Below are 21,061 nucleotides of genomic sequence, written 5' to 3'. Positions count from 1 at the left end.
TATGTTGGCCAGGCTGGTCTAGAACTCCTGACGTCAAGTGATCCACCCGCCTCAGCCTCCCAAAGTGCTGGAATTACAGGCATGAGCCACTGTGTGCAACTCATTCCTTTGTTTCTATATATATATATATTTTTTTTTTTCAAGACAGAGTCCAGCTCTGTCACCAGGTTGGAGTGCAATGGCATGATCTTGGCTCACTGCAACCTGCGCCTCCTGGGTTCAAGTGATTCTCCTGCCTCAGCCTCCCAAGTAGCTGGGATTACAGGCACGCACCACCATGCCCTGCTAATTTTTGTATTTTTAGTAGAGACAGGGTTTCACTATGTTGGCCAGGATGTTCTCCATCTCTTGACCTCGTGATCCGTCTGCTTCGACTTCCCACAGTGCTGGGATTACTGGCATGAGCTACCGGGACTGGCTCCTCATTTCTTTCTTTCTAAATAAATGAAAGGTATCTTTTATGTTTGCTAAATGAAAGAAAAGTGTTTTTGTGTTTTTGTACGATATAAATTTGAAATTCGAGAGAAGAAGGAAGAAAAAAATGAAAGAAAATAAGAAATTGAGGAGTTAAAAATGAGACAGGAAAGCAGAGAGATAGGGAAAGAGGGAAGGAAAGAAGGAAAGAGGAAGGAAGGAAGGAAGGAAAGAAGGAAGGAAGGAAGGAAAGAAGGAAGGGAGGGAGGGAGGGAGAGAGGGAGGGAGGGAGGGAGGAAAACGATTAATAAAACAGTTTTTTTGAACATTCATGAGCTGGACAAGAACATCAGATTCTCATCTTGGAGTACGCAATTGACTCAGTAGGTGACCTGGACAAATTCCTTAACATCTCTGGATAATATATATCTTTTACATTTTTCAGTTGAAATGGTCTGTCTATAGGCATGTTTCAACATGTGTACTATTAGCACGTTCAATGGAATAAATCTTCATTGGTTGGTTCTGACCCCACACACTGAATGAAAATCAGCACCTCTGGCTCCTGCCTACAAAATGCCAATAACGTCTCAGGGATTATAATAAAAACTCTACTACATTGCTATCATTGCATGAAATCCTGAATGCCAACCTTTAGGAACTCTAGTACAGTCATACATTATGAAATTGAGAAGTAATATTTAAGATTTTGTATTGAATTCTTTTATTTCAAGTGTAGAGATTATTCTATTTCATGACGAATGATAATGAGCATTAGCTGGATCTTCATGTTGAAAATGCTTTGGTGAATGAATGAATAAAAAATGAATTATTAGGTAAATATGAAGAATACTACATACCAATTTATATATTTTATCTTAATACAGCAGTAATGTGAAAAATTGTAATGTTCTAAATTTTAAGATGAAAAAAATAAAGTGAAGAGAGTATTATTTACTTGTTCTAGAAATTAAACATATTTTCTGACTCCAAAGACAGCGGATTTTCAAATGTTTTCTGAGCAGGTGTAGATGATAGGGTCAGAAATGTAAGCAAAGAGTCTCTGTGACATCTCATCCCCACTAGTAACAGCCATGAGAGATACTACAAAAATAACAGAATGTCATTTTTCAAAATATAGATGAGGGTGTAAGATTATATTATAATATAGATGAGGGTATAACATTGCATTGAATTCCCAGGCAAATATTGTCAAATTGCTTCTCACAGTGGTCAAGCCAATTTACATTATCTTCAGCAGCTTACAGAAATTTCTATTTTCCCTATCTACATACCTACGCCCCGACTCTCCACAACTGCTCAAAAATTATCAAACTATTTCTGATGTTTGCAATGTACGAGGTAAAAATCAATTTTATTTGAAACACATATGTGAAATTATACGTATTTTTTTAAAAATTTGCATTTTATTTTTGATGAACTGTCTGTGTATATATATTAAGATTTCGTTATTTGTATGAAGGTGTTCTTTATGTGTTAAATAAACTACAAGTCTTTTTGATATATTAGGTAAAAATATTTTACCCCATTTGTTGTTGGTCTTTTGCCTTTGTGATAAAATTATTTAAGTGTAGTCTTTTTTTTTACAGCTTTTAATTTTGCTTTTTGAAGTGCTACCTACTCTGACATTTTAATAAATAATCCTCAATCTTTGTTCTTGTACTTTAAAGATTTCTCCTTTTTTTTGCAAATATAATATAGATAACTTGTCAATCTAAAATTATTTTGGTGCAAATTAAAACACAAAATGATTTTCTTCCAGATGGCTTTCCAATTCTTCTAACACTATTAAATGAATAATTCATCTTTCCATCACCTATTTGAAATGAGTGGGTTACCATTGTGTTCCACGGCCTTCTTTCTTATCCTCTATGGTTCCATCTTTTAAAGAATCAATGTGTGTCTACATTGCTCCTTGTAACCAAAATTCATGAACAACACACTAAAATGTCCATTTAAACTTTCATTTGAATGCAATTATGTGGTCTCCCTTCTCTCTGAAAATTTGGATTTAGGAGCTATTTTTACTATTTTTTATGTGTGACCTGCTTAACTACCCAGTTACAGCCGGTTCACACATTAGGTATATACTGTTTTGTATGATTACAATAAGGAAAATGTCAAAATATAATTTCATAAATCACACAGTTTGTATTTCCATACAAAAATATTTTTTTCTTAGGTTCATAATACTTAAAGAGGGGACAGTGATATGAACAAATCTAATGGGAAATACACTGAATAGACAAGGTACATTAGTCACGTAGTGAGTGAGTTTCAAGATTATTAAGTCTAATTGCTCAGTTAGGATAGAAGGAGGTCTCTGTTGCCCTAGACTGGATGGCTTAAACCACAAACAGTGGTTTCTCACAGGTCTGGAGGCTGAAAAGGCTAAGATTAAGGTGCCAGCAAATCAAATGTCTAAGGAGAGCACTCTTCCTAGTTTGCAGATAGCAATCTTCTGATTGTATCCTCATATGACAGAGGGCAGAGAACATGGAAACAAGCTCTCTGGCATCTCTTGTTAGGGGGAACTGATCCCATCAATAGGGTTCCACTCTCATGACTTAAGTATTTCCCACAGGCCCCACTCTCTAATACCATCATGTTGGGAATCAGGGCTTCAACATTTGAATTTTGATGAGACACAAACTGTCAGTACACAGCAGAAAGGGAATAGTTGGAGTTCTATATATATATATATATAGAGAGAGAGAGAGAGATAGATAGATAGATATATAGATAGATAGATATATATGTATATATTTCCATTTTGTGTTTTTAACTTGTACAGGTTCATTTGGAAGGGATAGACTGTTGAGGTAATAGATGTGTTTGTGAGTAAATTTATATTCACAAGTTTTGTATTAGGTCATGAACCCAAAGAGATGTGTTGTAAGTTTGAGGCTAAATCCAAGAGACTATTATTTTTTTCTACTGGTATTTGTCATGGCAGAGATATAAGCACTGATGACAGAAATATGGTTTTTGTTGCTGTTAAAGTAAATTAGGAGAGATCAGATTATAGCTGATGTAATTTAGATGTTTGAAGGTGGGGGATTTTCTGATAGAAAAATTGTACATATGTAGCTCCCAAAATGAAAAAAAAGCCTTTATCAGGGGAGGTGACCTGCATCAGGGAATTTATTTTTCAATGTGGTAAAGCCGACACCAACTTTAAAACTGAGTTTTTGGAAGAGAGAGAGAGAGAGAGAGAGGGAGTGTGTGTGTGTGTGTGTGTGTGTGTGTGTGTGTGTGTGTGTGTATTTTGATTGGACATAATTCAGATTTATTTTATTTTTTTTTGAGACGGAGTCTCGTTCTGTCACCCAGGCTGGAGTGCAGTGGTGCGATCTCCACTCACTGCAACCTCTGCCTCCTGGGTTCAAGCAATTCTCTTGCCTCAGCCTCCCAAGCGTCTGGGGCTACAGGCGCCCACCACCACACCTGGCTAATTTTTTGTATTTTTAGTAGAGATGGGTTTTCACCGTGTTAGCCAGGATGGTTTCGATCTCCTGACCTCGTGATCCACCCGCCTTGGCCTCCCAAAGTGCTGGTATTACAGGCGTGAGCCACACCATGCCTAGCCCATGATACAGATTTTGTACTTAGCCTTAGCTAGCATTGGGATCTGGGAAAGGAAACACCCTTCCTTTCTGCACCCCACTGCATTTAGACTGAATTAATGTCTTCAACACTCTTATGTATTGCTTCAGTTTCTATTTGTTAATGGCTAATATGTGAAGGATATCATAAGAGGCACTTTAATACTTACTTCACTTACTGGTACCCTATCTTATGGAAGTGAATGTTATCCTGCTCATTTTACAGACAAGCAAACCTGAGATTTAGGATGAATAAGTATCTTACCCATTGTCACACAGTTTATAGTGGGTAACACCAACTAGCTATACCTAATTCTGAAGCTCACCTTTTTAATCACTAACTTATAATTCTTAGTTATGGTTGTAGTTGTCAGTTATACAGTTGACCCTTGAACAATATGGGTTTTAACTCTGAAGGTCAGCGTATATGTGGATTTTCTTCTACCTCTGCCACCCCTGAGCCAGTAAGATCAGCCTCTTCTCTTCCTCCTCCTTACTCTACTCAATGTTAAGATGACCAGGATGAAGACCTTTTATGATGATCCATTTCCACATAATAAATAGTAAATATACTTCCTCTTCCTTATGATTTTCTTAATAACATGTTCAGTTCTCTAGCTTACTTTATTGTAATAATACACTATATAACACATACAAAACATTTTGTTAATCAACTGTTTATGTTATCATTAAGGCTTCTGGTCAACAGTAGGTTATTAGTAGTTAAATTTTTGCGAAGTCAAAGTTATACGTGGATCTTTGACTGCATGGAGGTCAGAACTCCCAAACCCCGCATTCTTCAGGGATAATGTCTATATACTTTGCTGTCTCCAGAATTTCATAATTTGCTTCTTTGTGGTTTGCCATCTTTGTGGCTCCACAGCACTGAACAGGTGTCTAAATGATTGTTGATTTCAATTTGTGATGGCAAGTTCCTCAGTTGTGCTTGGGACAGAATGAAGGTTTAAATTTTAGTTTTTGGCTCCTTAAAGAAAAATAACTGCTGAAAGAGGCAGTTGTTATTTTAAAAACCTATCATAATGCCCTTCCTTCCTTCGAGCCCTGGGCTTGCATTCCCTTGCTCAATGTGAACATCGGTAAAGGAAAATAGGGATATGCATAAAGAGGTAGTCTCTTTGTTCCTGTCAGTTTATGCAAATGTGTAAGCCTTTTGCAAACATAACACAATTCTTTGGTTAATATTGTGCAGAATTCATCAAACTTATTGTAATTCAACTGCTACAAATTTGGTGTGGATATTCATTTTCTTTTCCTTTTTACATATGCTATGAGAACAATCCACCATGACAACTAAAATTGAATATAAGAATCAACCCCTGTAATTGAAAAACCATAATTCTAGTTATATGACGTGCTGTTTCAAAGCAGTTTCTAACTTCTTGGGTTTGATGTGAATGAGTTACATACATTGTAAGTGTTTAAGATTCATCCTGAGGACATGACTTTCAGATTTGGCCTATATTCTTCTTCATTACTGATGCCTAATCCTGTAAAACTATATCATCTTTTTTACAGTTATTATGAAAATCTTTTATATGCTGTTTCATTTGAAATGATATATTCTCAGTACACTTGTTTTTTTTATCCTTTAAGAAGCAGAAAAAGCTTGTAATAAAATTTTAAATATACCTACTACATTCTTTAGATGCTCTCCACCCTTTTGGGGATTTATTTCTCTAATTGGCTGTCTCTCTCAGTCTCCACACAGCTATTTCTAACTTCCTAAATTCTTCTTAAATTTAGGATCCTTTTTTCACCTACCTTATTCTTATCTGGTGAGTTTATCTAATTCTTAGGGGAAAAAAGGAATAAAATAAAACCTGCCAGAAGACCACTCCCTCAGTCTCCCGCCCTCAAAGTTACAAATTTTTATGAACCTTCATCTGATCTGTTTTTTTCTTGTTTTCTGTTAGAATAAAATCATTTTCCCCTGGAACTGAAGAAAGCTCACTTAAAAAAAAATGTGTGCCCTTCATTGCTTGCCTTCCACATTTTCTGAAGAAAACCGATTATTTCCTGTCTGTATATTTAACCTACCACTCTCCACAAACGTCTTCCTTCCTGTAAGCTTTTACACATGCTTAATTTTTGCCTTCTAGCTGAACTAAAAATAAAATGAACAAATTTTAAAAAAATCTTTTCTGGACATGGCAGTTTGTTCTGGCTAACAAGTTCCTCCCTCGCTGGCATAGGTAGAATTCTCAGGGTAAAAGAGCACATGCCCACTGTTTCTATTTCCTCTTTTCTCTGACCTCAGAAATCAGATTTCCTCTTCATAATTCAACTCATACTGATATCAGGTTAAAATTATCTGCCCGTTGTTATGTTTAGTTTAACCATCTCAAGCCTTTATCGTATTTGACCCTAAAAATCACCTAACAGTGTTGGTTCTCATTCCTTGAAAAGATCTCCTCTTTTGTCTTCCAGGAGACCAAGTCCTCCTGGTTTTAGTCCCACATTTCCGGCCTTCTGTTTGCCGTCTCTTTGTATTAACAATGTCTTTTTATTCTAATGCTGTCTTTTTATTCTAATGCTGTGTTAGTCTGTTTTGCATTGTTTTTTTTGTTTTGTTTTGTTTTTGAGACAGAATCTTACTCTGTTGTCCAGGCTGGAGTGCGGTGGCACGATCTTGGCTCACTGCAACCTCTGCCTCCCGGGTTCAAGTGATTCTCCTAAGCCTCCCCAGTGCTGGGATTACAGGCGCATGCCACCACATCCAGCTAATTTTTTGTATTTTTAGTAGAGATGGGGTTTCACTGTGTTAGCCAGGATGGTCCTGATCTCCTGACCTCGTGATCCTCCCGCCTTGGCCTTCCAAAGTGCTGGGATTACAGGCGTGAGTCACCACGCCGGGCCAATCTGTTTTGCCTTGTTCTAAAGGAATACCTGAGACTGGGTAATTTATGAAGAAAAGAAGTTTCTTTTGTTCACATTCTGCAAACTGTACAAGAAGGGTAAAGCCATCATCCACTTCTGGTGAGGGCCTCAGGAAGCTTACAATCATAGCAGAAGATGAAGGCATGGCATGTTGTGCTTGCTTCTCTTGAACTGTAACAAAATCTCTTTTCAATGACCATCATCTTCTGGTCTCTTGGCTTCACCCTGCCTGAGTAATAATGAAATCTACATTTAAAAATACTCCTTAAAAGATCTATACATTCTCTAAATTAGTAGTTGGATATCTCCCTGCAGAGGCTTTTGAAAATTGTTGGGAGTACATTTACGTATTATAAGAATTATAGTGTCGGACTACCAGCATTCACTGAGAGAGTGGGTTGGGGGAAACTAGACATCCTGCAAAACAAGGGTAGTACTGCAGAAAGGAAATGAATTAAAGAGAAATAGTCTATAATGAAATGTATCTTTTGATATGCAAAGGTACCCGGGAGTGGTGGCTCATGCCAAGGCAGGTGGATCATGAGGTCAGGAGATTGAGACCATCCTGGCCAACACGGTGAAACTCTGTCTCTACTAAAAATACAAAAAATTAGCTCAACGTGGTGGCACACGCCTGTAGTACCAGCTAGTTGGGAGGCTGAGGCAGGAGAATCACTTGAACCTGGGAGGCACAGGTTGCAGTGAGCTGAGATCGCCCCACTGCACTCCAGCCTGGGCTACAGACTGAGACTCCGTCTAAAAATACACACACACACACACACACACACACACACACACATGCAAATGCTAGGAAAAGTCTACACACAGCAAATAAATAATGGGGAAGCCAGATTTTCCCCTTCTATGTAGAATCACAGTGAACGCAGACCTATCAACCAGACCAATAGAGCTGTGTGTTAGCGATTCAGTGCCACTAACAGTGTTGCCACTGGTGGGATGATTTTCCAAACTGATGGAACTACACATATTGAAGTTTTGAATTAAATAATTTTCCTCAAGTTGCCACACAACTTTTGTTTACTATTATGTTTTCTGTAGAGACACGCTCTCAGTATGTTGCTCAGATTGGTCTTGGATTCCTGGCCTCAAGCAATCCTCCTGCCTCAGCCTCCCAAAGTGCTGGAATGACAGGCATGAGAAGGTATGGTGATACCCAGTCAAGTTTCTCTACCTGGAAAATTCCATTTATCTTAAAACTATGCAAAAAAACATAATGTATATGTGCAGTATATACAAATCAGTTGGATTCTATAATTAGATAATTGTTTAAAGTTTTATTACTTAAGTGTATGCCAGGTGGGACATTTGAAAGTTACCTTATGTAGGTTTGTTGGTTATATTAACCATGTATTTAAGTTTTATATAGTAAAGGAAAACATTTCAATATGTTTAATACGAAAAAAAAAACAAGCATTGGCTCTGATAGTATCAAGAAACAACATCTAAAATTCTAAAATTATTCTTGAGATTTGGGCTAAGACTTATTTTCTTTCATTTTTTTCCACATTTCTTAGACAATTATATATATAATTATATTTATGTATATATAAAATAGTTATGCATGAGCTTTCAATGAGTAGTCGAGAACAGTTATGGCTTGTATGTATACATATACAATATATATACAATCATCAGACATATAATTATTATATTTTATATATTATTGATAATATATTGTTATATTATTAGCATATATTAATGTATTGATAACAATATATTATTTATATATTAATATATTGATAACAATATATTATTTATATATTAATATATTGATAACAATATATTATATATTATTTATATATTAATATATTGATAACAATATATTATATATTATTTATATATTAATATATTGATAACAATATATTATATATTATTTATATACTAATATATTAATACACAATATATTAATATTTCATCACATATTATTGATATATACATAAGTATTTAATGTTATAAATATATAATTTTATATAATTATAAATATATAATTTTATATAATTATAATACATACTTTTATATATAATTATAATACATAATATATAAATAATAATATATTATGTATTATTAATTATATAATATTTATGCATAAATATTATAATTATATATAATATTGTATGGTTATAATTATAATTATATATAAATTATATATATACACATAAACCATATGTGTATATATATGTTCTCAAAACTATTTACTCATTAAAAGCTCATGTATAATTTTGTCCCCTGCCTGAATATCTCTACAGAGCCCCAGACTCATTACTTATCTACCTTGCCAGCATCTCCAATCAATGTCTGTTCTGCCACAAAAACTCCTTCTTGCAGTGTTGACAACCTCAATGAGCAAGCCTCAGGGACCCTGGTGCCAGTGTGTACTTGAATGATAACACTCCAAATATGGGAGCTATCCTGGCGCCTCTTCCACCTCCTTTGTTATGCTCTTAGTTCAGAGTAGATATTCTGCTGCCCTATCACTCCAGGGCCTAATAACAGACAAATAGAGACAGCCATGAAATTCAGAGCCCACTGAAATCATTCAACTAGCCAAGCCTAAACCCGTTTACTCTCTCTCCCACTTCTTGAAGAAACCACAAAAAACGCTTTCTCTAAAGGTTTGCTCCTGCTCCCTCTGCCTCCCTTGCCCTCCACCTTCAACCAATAACAAAGACAAAAGGCATGTTTTTCATCCTCATGCTCAGTACCTTCGAAAAGATCAGTGTTGTTTTCCTCTAATCCATTTTCTGTTTTACTGCCAGAATGATCTTTCAAAGAAGGAAATCTGGTAATATCTTAACCTGATTAGAATCCTTCAGTGACTTTTCATTGATCTTACTATAAAAACCAGTCTTCTTACAGTGCTTCTAAAAATCGTTGATGCTCCAACCCTTTCTTGCCTCACTGGTCCCTACCACTCTCATTCATTATTCTCTACATTATATATATATATATATATATATATATATATATATATATATATATATATGTGTGTGTGTGTGTGTGTGTGTGTGTGTGTATAATTTTTTTTTTTTTCTTTTCTGAGATGGAGTTTCGCTCTTGTTGCCCAGGCTGCAGTGCAGTGGCGTGATCTTGACTCACTGCAACCTCTGCCTTTCTGTTTCAAGCGATTCTCCTGCCTCAGCCTCCCAAGTAGCTGGGATTGCAGGTGCCCGCCACCATGCCTGGCTAGTTTTTGTATTTTTTTTAGTAGAGACGGGGATTCACCATGTTGGCCAGGCTGGCCTCGAATTCCTGACCTCGTGATCCACCCGCCCTGGCCTCCCAAAATGTTGAGATTACAGGTGTGAGCCATTATATTTCTTTTAGTTTATCAAATGCAGATGTTTTGCTTCTTGATTCTTGTTTTTCTACTTTTGAGTATATACTACCCTAGCTTTTTTTTCTGGCCCATTCTTACCCATTATTTAAGTATATATTTAAACATTCCACCTCTTGAAAAGCTTTTCTTTACTATTTTAAATTAGGTAATGTTTTTCTCCCATTGACAGCTTATATTTCCCTTCCATAGTACTTAGTACACCATATCGCAATTGTTTGCTTAACTATCTGTTTTACCCTTAGACCCAAAGCCTGTGCTATCCGTTCAATAGAAACATAATGCAAGCCACAAATGAAGCCACACATTTCCTTAAAAATTTTCTAGCAGCAGTATTTTTTAAATTGAAACAGATGAAATGAGTTAATGTGTCATTTAGCCCAATATATCCAAAATATAATTATTCCAACATGTAATCAATATAAAATTATCAATTCAATACTTTGTCTTTTTTCATACTATCATTGAAAAATTGACTATCTTATGCTTTCAGCAAGTCTCAATTTGGAGTAGCCATATTTCAAGAGCTCAGTAGCCACACGTGGCTAGGGGTTATCATACTGTGTCCGGAATTGGTTCCTTCCAGTGGGCTCTTGGTCTCGCTGACTTCAAGAACGCAGCTGCGGCCCCTCGCGGTGAGTGTTACAGTTCTTAAAGATGGTGTGTCCGGAGTTTATTCCTTCAGATGTTCAGATCTGTCTGGAGTTTCTTCCTTCGGGTGGGTTCGAGGTCTCACTGACTTCAGGAGTGAAGCCGGAGACCTTCGCAGTGAGTGTTAACAGCTCTTAATGGTGGTGCCTCTGGAGTTGTTTGTTCCTCCCGGTAGGTTCGTGGTGTTGCTGGCTTCAGGAGTGAAGCTGCAGACCTTCGTGGGGAGTGCTACAGCTCATAAAGGTAGCGCAGACCCAAATACTGAGCAGCAGCAAGACTTATTGCGAAGAGGGAAAGAACAAAACTTCCACAGCGTGGAGTAGCACCCAAGTGGGTTGCCTCCGTGGGCTCGGGTGGCCAGCGTTTATTCCCTTATTTGGCCCTGCCCACGTCCTGCTGATTGGTCCATTTTACAGAGCACTGACTGGTCCGTTTTACAGATCGCTGATTGGTCAGTTTTTACAGAGTGCTGATTGGAGCGTTTACAAACCTTTAGCTAGACACAGAGCGCAGATGGATGCATTTTTACAGATTGCTGATTGGTGCGTTTACAAACCTTTAGCTAGACAGAAAAGTTCTCCAAGTCCCCACTCACCCAGGAAGTCCAGCTGCCTTCACCTCTCAGTATTGCATGCTGCAGGTTTCAGCTCTGTAAAAGGAGTATCCTTACTTACCAGGTTCAGCATTCTACTTCCAATTACAGCAGAGCACTTGGCATTTAGAGCAGGCACTCAATACATGCAGGTGGATAAATAAGTAGATGAATGCTAGAATTTCTCTTTAAACATCATTTTAAAGTCTGTGATACATTGTTATAAGTTTAAAAATCAGCTTATGACCCACAAGATTTATTTTATGACTTCATTATTATATTAGTATTTACATTTAGAAAAACATTGTTATAGATATTTGGCTAGGGAGAATATAAGTCAATAATAATTTTTTTTAGTTACTTCAGTAATTATTTTGTTGTCATATTCTTCTGGATTAAAAAAATTCAACTATGAAAATCCTAGTAGGGCTCTGTGTTATTTCATAACCTAAATGCAGTTATTATTATTATTAATCACAAAATCAATAGTTAAAACCAGCTCCACAATAATTATTTGCAAAATATATAAAGGATATAGCACATTTTATCTTCTTCCGTTTTCTTAAATACTGGGTGATTGAAATTTACATTACCCAAATTATTATGATAGACATAAAATTCTGAAAGAGAACTAAAAAGACCTCTACTACTCACCTTCTCTTTTCCAGAGCTCTGCAATCTTCCTATGAACTAATTTTCTAGAGCCGGCTATGACTGGAAAAACTATGATTTTTTAAGGCTATTTTGTTCAACCTTGAGAAGATCTGGCTGATAGAAATAATATCAAATAATTCATAAACTTAACCAATGTTTGTTATGTATACATATTGCTCCAGTGCTGTGCAGGGACTGGTAATGAAAGTGACAGAGTAGTCATGGCTTCCTTTTTTTTATCTTATTCTTTTCATTTCCAAGTCTTTTTTTTATTTTATTATTATTATACTTTAAGTTTTAGGGTATATGTGCACAATGTGCAGGTTAGTTACATATGTATACATGTGGAAGTAGTCATGGCTTCTACCAAAGTGTGTTAGCAATTCTCTGCTCCTCGAGCTCATCCTCTTTGCTTCTGGGTTTTTTCCCTCACTGAAACCCATCTCTTCTCCCTAGAATAATGAATGCTTATTTGCCCATGCCCTGATGATGACAGGACTCTAAAGCAGTGACAGCTTCCTTTTCCTAGTCTCTTGCAAAGATTCTATGTCAGCTTTAACCCAAACTTCTTCTGTACTTTGGTTGTGTCATCCCTTCCTGCCCATTATCACCCTTTACTGAACCTCGACATTTCTCCTCACCTGTCAAAGTCTTTTGCTCCCATTTCACCAGGTCCTCTCCACTCAAACTCTTGTTCTCACCTTGAAGACTCGAGTATCTGACAGTAGATTAATCTGGAGACCTAGCTTCATGAAGGTTCTTTAGTGCCGTAACCTGATATAAATATACATATATATACATATATATATACCTTTTTCCAATGATTCAAATATATGTATATTTCAATGATTCAATAAAATATATAGAGTTTAATGATTCAATCTCTTAAGCACACATGTCTTACATCTCTTTCTGTTATCATGAATGTCCTACCTATTGAATGTTCAACCCTGGTATTCCACATTGGAATCATTAATAATCTTAATCCTTATCCTACCAATGTTACCCCTTGGACCCCAAAAGAGGGTCTTCTTTGCAAGGCCTTAGTCTTCCCTTTTTATACTACACCCCTTCTGAGGGGTGAAGAGTTTGTGGGGCCAAGTATAAGTGCTCACTTGGAGACCTTGCACCTCCTTCTCAGATTATACGCTGAATAACAGGATGCTGGAATTCCTGGCTTAACTGGCCTTGTTCCTGCCTCTGTAGCCTGCACAGATTTTTTATGAAGCTCTTTTCTCCTCAGAGGACCCATTTGTGGTATCCACGTCCTTAGACACAAGCCATTTGAGAAGGTTGTAAAGGATGTTGGGCACAAGAACCTGCGTGACACACGTGTGGTCAGATCTCCCTCAGCATGGGATGGAGCTGAGGCTGGGATGAGAGGAATGGACATCAGGGTCTAAGGAATGGCTCTTCCTGAACCACCACATATTGAAGTGGAACTTCCCTCTTTCATGCTTTTATAAGGATAAATTGTCAAAGTAGCATCAATCACATTGCATTAATAATTTGTCTTGATTTACTACTTTCAAATATTTAGGTAAGTAATAGAAGGAGCTCTAATAACATTCTGGCCCCGGGCACCTTAAATATTAGGGGTGGGTCTGCCAACCATGCTTACACGTCAGCCCTTACTCTAATCAATACTCTCTTGACTTCTATCTCTTTTAATGTCTATTAGCTTTTCTTTTGTCTAAGAACTTGGTTTTTCCAAAAAGCCTGGAGTTTATAATGCAGTTCCACCATAATCACTGTACCCTCCCTTCTGACGATGCTGTTCTTCTGATGTCCTTGCTATACAAAGCCCAAATGTGGTAGACTTTTGCCAGCTGCATTTATCAGTCCTATGCCCATCTTCTGAAAGCTGTTGGAAAAAAATGTATAATTTTGTGGGTTTCTGCCACTTCAATTTTATGATATTTAATTTTAGTTTTGTTCTACAAATCCTATAATACCACCCTTGTCAGATGTATTTCCCATCTGCCTGGCTATTTCAAAATTTTATCACTCTTCTCAAGTAGATAATTTTTGGCCTCCTCATCTTCAAGAGATTGCTTTTATTCTATTTCACAGTAAAAATCAAGACTTGAATGTGGAAAGACCCTAAACTCTTAAACATCAAATTATACATACATCTAAATGTTCTGACTTTCTTCCTTCTGGTTTTACAAGTTTGTCTTAAAACTTAATGTGGGTACTTTGTGATCTTTACTGCCACCTTCAGGATGGCCTCATCTACTGTTATCTTCTCCACACCACACTGCATTAAGTATCTCCTTTCTTTCCGATACCTTCAGCTTCTCTTCTCTCCTCTCTCTCTCTCTCTCTCCCTCTCTCATTTTCTCTCTCTCTGCCTGCTGACTTCAAATTGCTCTCAGATAGCAATATCAGAAAAAAAATTTCTTCATTTATGATATTATTTGAAGTGAAATTATCTTTTCTACTCATAGACATGCTCTTTAGGAAATTAACCAGCCACTGCCATTACCTTCTCCCTGTACCTTGATGGCTCAACATACTTCATCCCAGAACCAGCTCTTACTATTTCGCTGAAATTATTTTTTTATAAAGTCACCAGTGTCTTTACATGCACTAATCCAAAGGGTGCACTTCAGGCCTTATCTTACCTGACTTCTCTGCAACTTCTGATATATTGATCAAGTTTTTGATTATTGACACGCTTTTTTTGTTTTTTCTCTACTCCTGCTTCTTCCCTTATGTTTTAGACCTTCCCAAATCTCCAGCCCAGGAAAGAATACTTATTTTGGTGCATTTGGTGTGCAGCAGAGCTTGATCTTCTTCCCAGTTTTCTTTTCACTTTACAAATCTACTTGAGTCATCTCATTTAGACTGTAACCTTCAACTACCTGCTGACAACTAGTCACTTATCTTTTTTCCTGGATAGAAAACATCAGCCTTCCTAGACAGTTCTGGATCACCTGATTACTGACAATGTACATATTCCACAGAGTCCTCAAGCTGAATTCAGTCTTTTCATCCTACCTCATCAAAGCTTATACTGTCTTACGTATTTATTTTGGAAATTGGTGAAAGCCATCAACATCTTCCAGATTGTCTCAGATCTCTGTGGACAGTCTTTTTCTAGTCTCATTAGCAATGTTTCAACATCCACCAATTCCTTCTACTTCTGTGGCTCTATTCTGTTCTACTTTAGACACCTATCATCAATTAAATGGAATTCTCTCATAGTCTACTCTTATTTTTTGCTGGCATTACCTTCCTCCCAACTATACTATATACATGCATGACTTACTTTTCCAACAGTTAAGATAGGGCACATGCCTTCTTTCTTTAAAAGTGTTTAAGGATCTCCAGTTCTCTATTGCCTATAAAATAAAGTTTTATTTGTATCATGCTTAACTTGACATTGAGAGTTCCTATCATCCCAAGCTCCAACTTCTCATTCTTCTCCATCTGTCTCTTATACTCAAGCCATGCCAAAAACTACCTGCTTCCATATACCTATTCCTTTCATGCCTCTACACTTTGTCAGGTCATTTTATCTTTCTGAAACGTTTTGCCTTTTCCTTGTCTACCTGACAGAGTCATACATACTTTTCAATTTCAGCTGAAGCATTACCTATAAAAACTTGACTTCTCCAAGCAGACATAAGGTCATTTATCATGGTCCAATAATCTTGGTCCTGATTCCAATGTAGCAGGAATTACCATGTAATACCGAACAATTTTCACAGTGTATTTCAAATGCAATTGACCAAAATGCCAAATGTTGTATTCTAAGGGACCCAGTATCTGTTTCATTATTGCAAATAATTCTTGGAAAAAAATGAGATATTATGCTTCTCCCAGTTATCTCAGCTAAGACTATTTTCAAAGAACTGTTTTAAGTGTGTGGGTTATCACAATGTTCCATATACACTGTTTGCTAATCACTACATTCTAGACACTATGAAAATTCTTTCACATTCCTCCAAAATTATGTGTTAAGTCCATTGATGGAATAGGATAATGAATAAGGTTTACATCATGTCATCATAAAAAACTTCAAGTTGAATGTTAGTTAACACAGTTCTTAAAAGCACTTTGCCTAACCAATTATCAGAAATATCTTACTGGCTCCCTTATTTAAAAGCTTCAGTTTCCTGCTCCATTCCCTGGGATCTACTCTTTTTACAAATTTCCTGTTGCCTCTTTCACAGCTGTTTTTTTTGTTTTGTTTTTTGCTTAGACAACAATGGGCATTTTATTATTGAAATCATCAATACATTAATTAAGACCTAATATATCTGGAATATAATTGCATACAATTTTTTTTTAGCTTTTCAATCTTTATTTTTCTTCATTTTATATTTGACTGATACGCAGAAGACTTGTGCAGAAGAGTCTAGCTGTGTCTTTGTTTCAATGTCTTTTCCAGACTCTATACTTAAGGCTTCTTGTAATATATCTAATGATTTCAAGGTATTTTTTGAACAAAGACTGTTATTTTTCTAAAATGGGCTCTTGGACCATTTTTAGCCTACTTCACATTGACTGTGATCTTCTTGGGGTCACAGATAAAACTTTTCAAGTCTTTCCTCATAGAAATTTATACTACTTCCAATAAACATTTCTGAAACAAAAACGTATATGAATACAGTAAATATAAACCTAAAATGTTTGAGTGACAGTTGTATTTCATAATTCAGCTTTAATTAGGTGAAGAATATAAATATTAAAATTAATATAAGTATTACTTCTTAATTATTTTATGAAAACTAAAATTTCCTCTAAGTTGTTCAGAGTATTTCAAAATTTTAGGAACTTCCAATATTTTAATTTTCACTGTTGTTTTTAGTATTGGTTAAATAGATAATAGGTGAGATTTATATGCTCTTCTCTGTTCCTGTTGTGTTATCATTAAATTAGACTCTTTTGGTATGTACTTTAATATAATACTACTGTTTTATTTTATTTTATTTTATTTTATTGAGATGGAGTCTTACTCTCTTGCTGAGGCAGGAGTGCAGTGGAACGATTTTGGCTCGCTGCAACCTCCACCTCCCGGGTTCAAGTGACTCTTCTGCCTCAGTGTCCCAAGTAGCTAAGAATACAAGTGCCCACCACCCCACCCAGCTAATTTTGGTATTTTCAGTAGAGACGGGGTTTCATCATGTTGGCCAGGCTGGTCTTGAATTCCTGACCTCAAGCAATTCGCCCACCTCGACCTCTCAAGATGCTGGGATTATAGGCATGAGCCACCGCGCCTGGCCAATACTAATGTTTTATAATTACACTTTGTCAAAAGATCTAGAATTCTATGACTATTTTCAACAACTTTTGATAATATATTAATAATAATGATAAAATGACAACAATAATAACATAATAAAGATAATGATAATTAAAGCTACCACTTTAAGTATTATTTTATGTGATCATAAAACCAACATTTTATGTAAAGATTATTCTCACTTTTAAGGATACTACCAGCAGGTGTGCTTTTTGGGGGTCCTAGTGTAATTTAAAAGAAGATAAAATTATTTCTGGTTCAGATAAGTTAGGATAGGCCTGTTTATTCTTGATCCTCTCAACTACGTACAACCACAAACACTGGAAGTTGTAAGAGAAAAAATAAAAAGAGAGAGAGAACTCTGAAAGACAGGCAGATGTTAGAGGTCTCAGGATTAAAGAAACAGGTCTTTTGATGCCCACTCAACAGAACAAAGCAAGCCAGGCCCACCGCTTCCCCATCCCCAATTTTGCATCAAAAGGCAGATCAGGTAGGCTCATTCCTCTGCCAGATTGAATAAGAGTCCTTTCAATAACACCAGGTCAGCCCAGCAGTATCAGGAATGGAGACTGATAGTGACACCAGCTGATGACCAAAGCAGACAAGGCTAGTGAACAAGGACTATGGTTGCTTCCCACTCCTCCCTCACCCCTGCCACACACAGGCACACACATTAAGGGAAACCTAGGGGGTCTCGAAGCACTGGCAGGGGGATCTTGCCATCATAACCAGGCTGGCCCAGGAAGCCATCCATCCTTGTGGGTCAGAGACTCACTTCTTTACCGAGAGACATTGGTCAACTGAGCAGAAGCAGCAAGGAAAATTCTGCCACAACTAATGCTTGTTCTTGTGTGCCTGAGACTCCCCTCCCCAACCCAAAACACCAGACACTGGGCTGCGCCCACGAGAGAAAAATCTGTCACAATGAGTGGCACTGCCAGGGAAAGACTCTTTCTAAAGGCTGGAGACTCCCTTTTCTAGATCGAGGCACTATGAGTCCAGGCCTGGGAAAGCATCTTCTGGCCACCAGGCAGTACCAGTAAAGACCAGTGAGAGCCCAGTGGTATCATAAGGCACCCAACAAGCAATCAAAATAACACCATAAAGACTCTAAAGATGAAGTTGTCATTGGAACCACAGTCCATAAAAGTAGGCCAGGCTCTGCTTGCTAAACTTAGACTAGGTGGTTACCTGCTAAAATAAAGACTTCAGGAGGACTTGTAATCTTCTAACAAAAGACAGAATTTTATACCGCGAATCAGGAAAATCATCAACTTGAATGAGAAAACACTATCAAGTGACAACACTGGGCAGAATCAGAGGTTGCAATTATCTGACAAGGATTTAGGAGCAATCAGCACAAAAATGCTTTAATTGCAAAAAGCAACTAAAAATTCTTTTGAAACAGATGACATAATAGAAAATATCAAATAATTCCATCAGTTATTAAAGAGAACCAAATGGAAATTATAGAACTAAACAATACAATCACAGGGAGGAAAAAATAGCTTGCTAGATAGGATAAATGTAGACTAGAGATGAAAGGAAACAGAATCAGTGAATTTGAGAACAGATCAATATTGATGGAATTGCTTCACTGCTCTTATGATAAGAGTTCAATATGGATACAAAAAGCAGAGTGTGTCTGTGAGTCTGAAGAAATAATGGTTGAAGACCATTGATTAACTAGAGCTCATCAGTTTGTTTGTTTGTTTTTTAACTTATCTCTGAGTTACCCCATGAAGAGAAAGAAAAGACCAGGCAGAGACTGAGAGAAAATATTTGCAGGCAACATACTCAACAAAGGGCCAGAGTCTAGAATGTATATAGGACTCGAAACAATGCACAGTAAAAATAATTCAATTAGAAAGATACATGAACATGTATTTCACTGATGAGGACAGACAGCCAATAAATGCATGAAAAGTTGTTTAACACTGTCCAGGGGCAGTGGCTCACACTTCTAATCCCTGCACTTTGGGAGGCCGAGGTGGGTGGATCACGAGGTCAGGAGATGGAGACCATCCTGGCTAACACGGTGAAACCCCATCTCTAATAAAAAAAGTACAAAAAAATTAGCCGGGTGTGGTGGTGGGCGCCTGTAGTCCCAGCTACTCAGGAGGCTGAGGCAGAGGAATGGCGTGAACCTGGGAGGCAGAGATTGCAGTGAGCTGAGATCTTGCCACTGCACTCCAGCCTGGGTGACAGAGCAAGACTCCGTCTCAAAACAAACAAACCAACAAAAAAATTTGTTCAACATTGTTTGTCACTAGGAAATATAAATTAAACCAATAATGATATATTACTACACTTATCACAACAGTTATAATTTTTAAAAAATAGTGAAATCACCACGATCTTTTTTTCTGAGTTTGAAAATAAACTGAATCACTCATTCATTGCTAATGGGAATGCTTAATTACACAGCCATTCCAGAAAATAGCTTGGCAATTTCATATAAAACTAAGCATACTCTTGCCACATGATCTAGCAGTTTCCCTCCTTAGACTTTTGTCCTAATGAAATCAAAATGTATTTTCACACAAAAACTTGTACAGGAATGTTGATAGCAGCTTTATTAATTAATATCCAGTAGCTAGAAACAGCCCAAATGTCCTTCAACAGGTGAATGCTAAACAAATTGTCATATACCATATTAGTCTACCTTCATGCTGCTGGTAAAGACATAGCTGAGACTGGGCAATTAAAAAAAAAAAAAAGAGGTTATTGGACTCATAGTTCCATGTGGCTGAGGGGGGCTCACAATCATGGCAGAAGGCGAAAGTCACCTCTTAGATGGTGACAGCAAGAGACAAGAGAGTCTGTACAGGGAAATGCCCCTTTGTAAAACTGTCAGATGTTGTGAGACTCATTCGCTATCAGGAGAATAGCAGGGGAAAGACCTGGCCCCATGATTCAGTTATCTTCCTCCGGGTCCACCCCACAATACATGGGAATTATGGGAGGTACATGATGAGATTTAGGTGGGGACACAGAACCAAACCATATCATATACTCATGCCATGGAATCCTATCCAACAATAAAAAAGGAGAAAACTATTGATTCATTAAGCAACTTGAATTCAATGCAAGGAAATTACACTGAGTTAAGAAAAAAAGCTTGCAAAGTAACATATATAACATTCCTGAGGTAAAAAGTTTATAAAGATGCAGAACAAATTAATGTTTTCCAGGGCTTAGGGATAGGAGTGTGTGTGGATATGGCTATAAAAGGATAGCATGGGGGATCCTTGTAATAGAACTGTTCTGTATCTTGTCTGTTCTTGGATTATCCAAATCTACAGATGTGGTAAAACTTCATAGACCAAAACGCACATCCACACCCACTCCTCTCTGACACAAACACACACATATTTTGTCAACCTAAATAACAGATGTACAGAGATTCTCCAAAGATAATATGTTTCTTTGGGAGTGAACATTGCAATGTGGAATATGATGCCATAGTAAGCTATGGGCATATTTAGGGAGATAAAGGAAGGAAAGTTTGGCAACAAGGATCAGTAACAAGGGTGGTGTGAGTACAAGGTTGAACAGGCAGTTACTGGGCAGATGTCCTCACAGAAGTATTTTTGGTGTAAAGTTTTGGTAGTCTT

General features: G+C 37.0%; 1 long non-coding RNA gene across 2 annotated transcripts in view; it reads right to left on the bottom strand.

Annotated features, from left to right (window-relative positions):
* Window positions 1-21,061, bottom strand: part of LOC105372750 (uncharacterized) — a 63,784-nt gene that overhangs the window by 8,002 nt on the left and 34,721 nt on the right. Inside the window, exons 2-4 of one of the 2 annotated variants that reach the window (XR_937612.2) lie at window positions 12,832-12,964; window positions 9,231-9,442; window positions 7,060-7,167 (exon numbers count right to left, since the gene is read on the bottom strand). This is a non-coding gene — a long non-coding RNA (uncharacterized LOC105372750). The remainder of the gene's footprint in view (window positions 1-7,059; window positions 7,168-9,230; window positions 9,443-12,831; window positions 12,965-21,061) is intronic. The other variant, XR_937613.2, reaches the window with a different exon arrangement.

The sequence above is a fragment of the Homo sapiens genome, chromosome 21 (assembly GCF_000001405.40).
Source record: "Homo sapiens chromosome 21, GRCh38.p14 Primary Assembly".
Lineage (NCBI taxonomy): Eukaryota > Metazoa > Chordata > Mammalia > Primates > Hominidae > Homo > Homo sapiens.
This window is presented reverse-complemented; position numbering and strand designations above follow the sequence as displayed.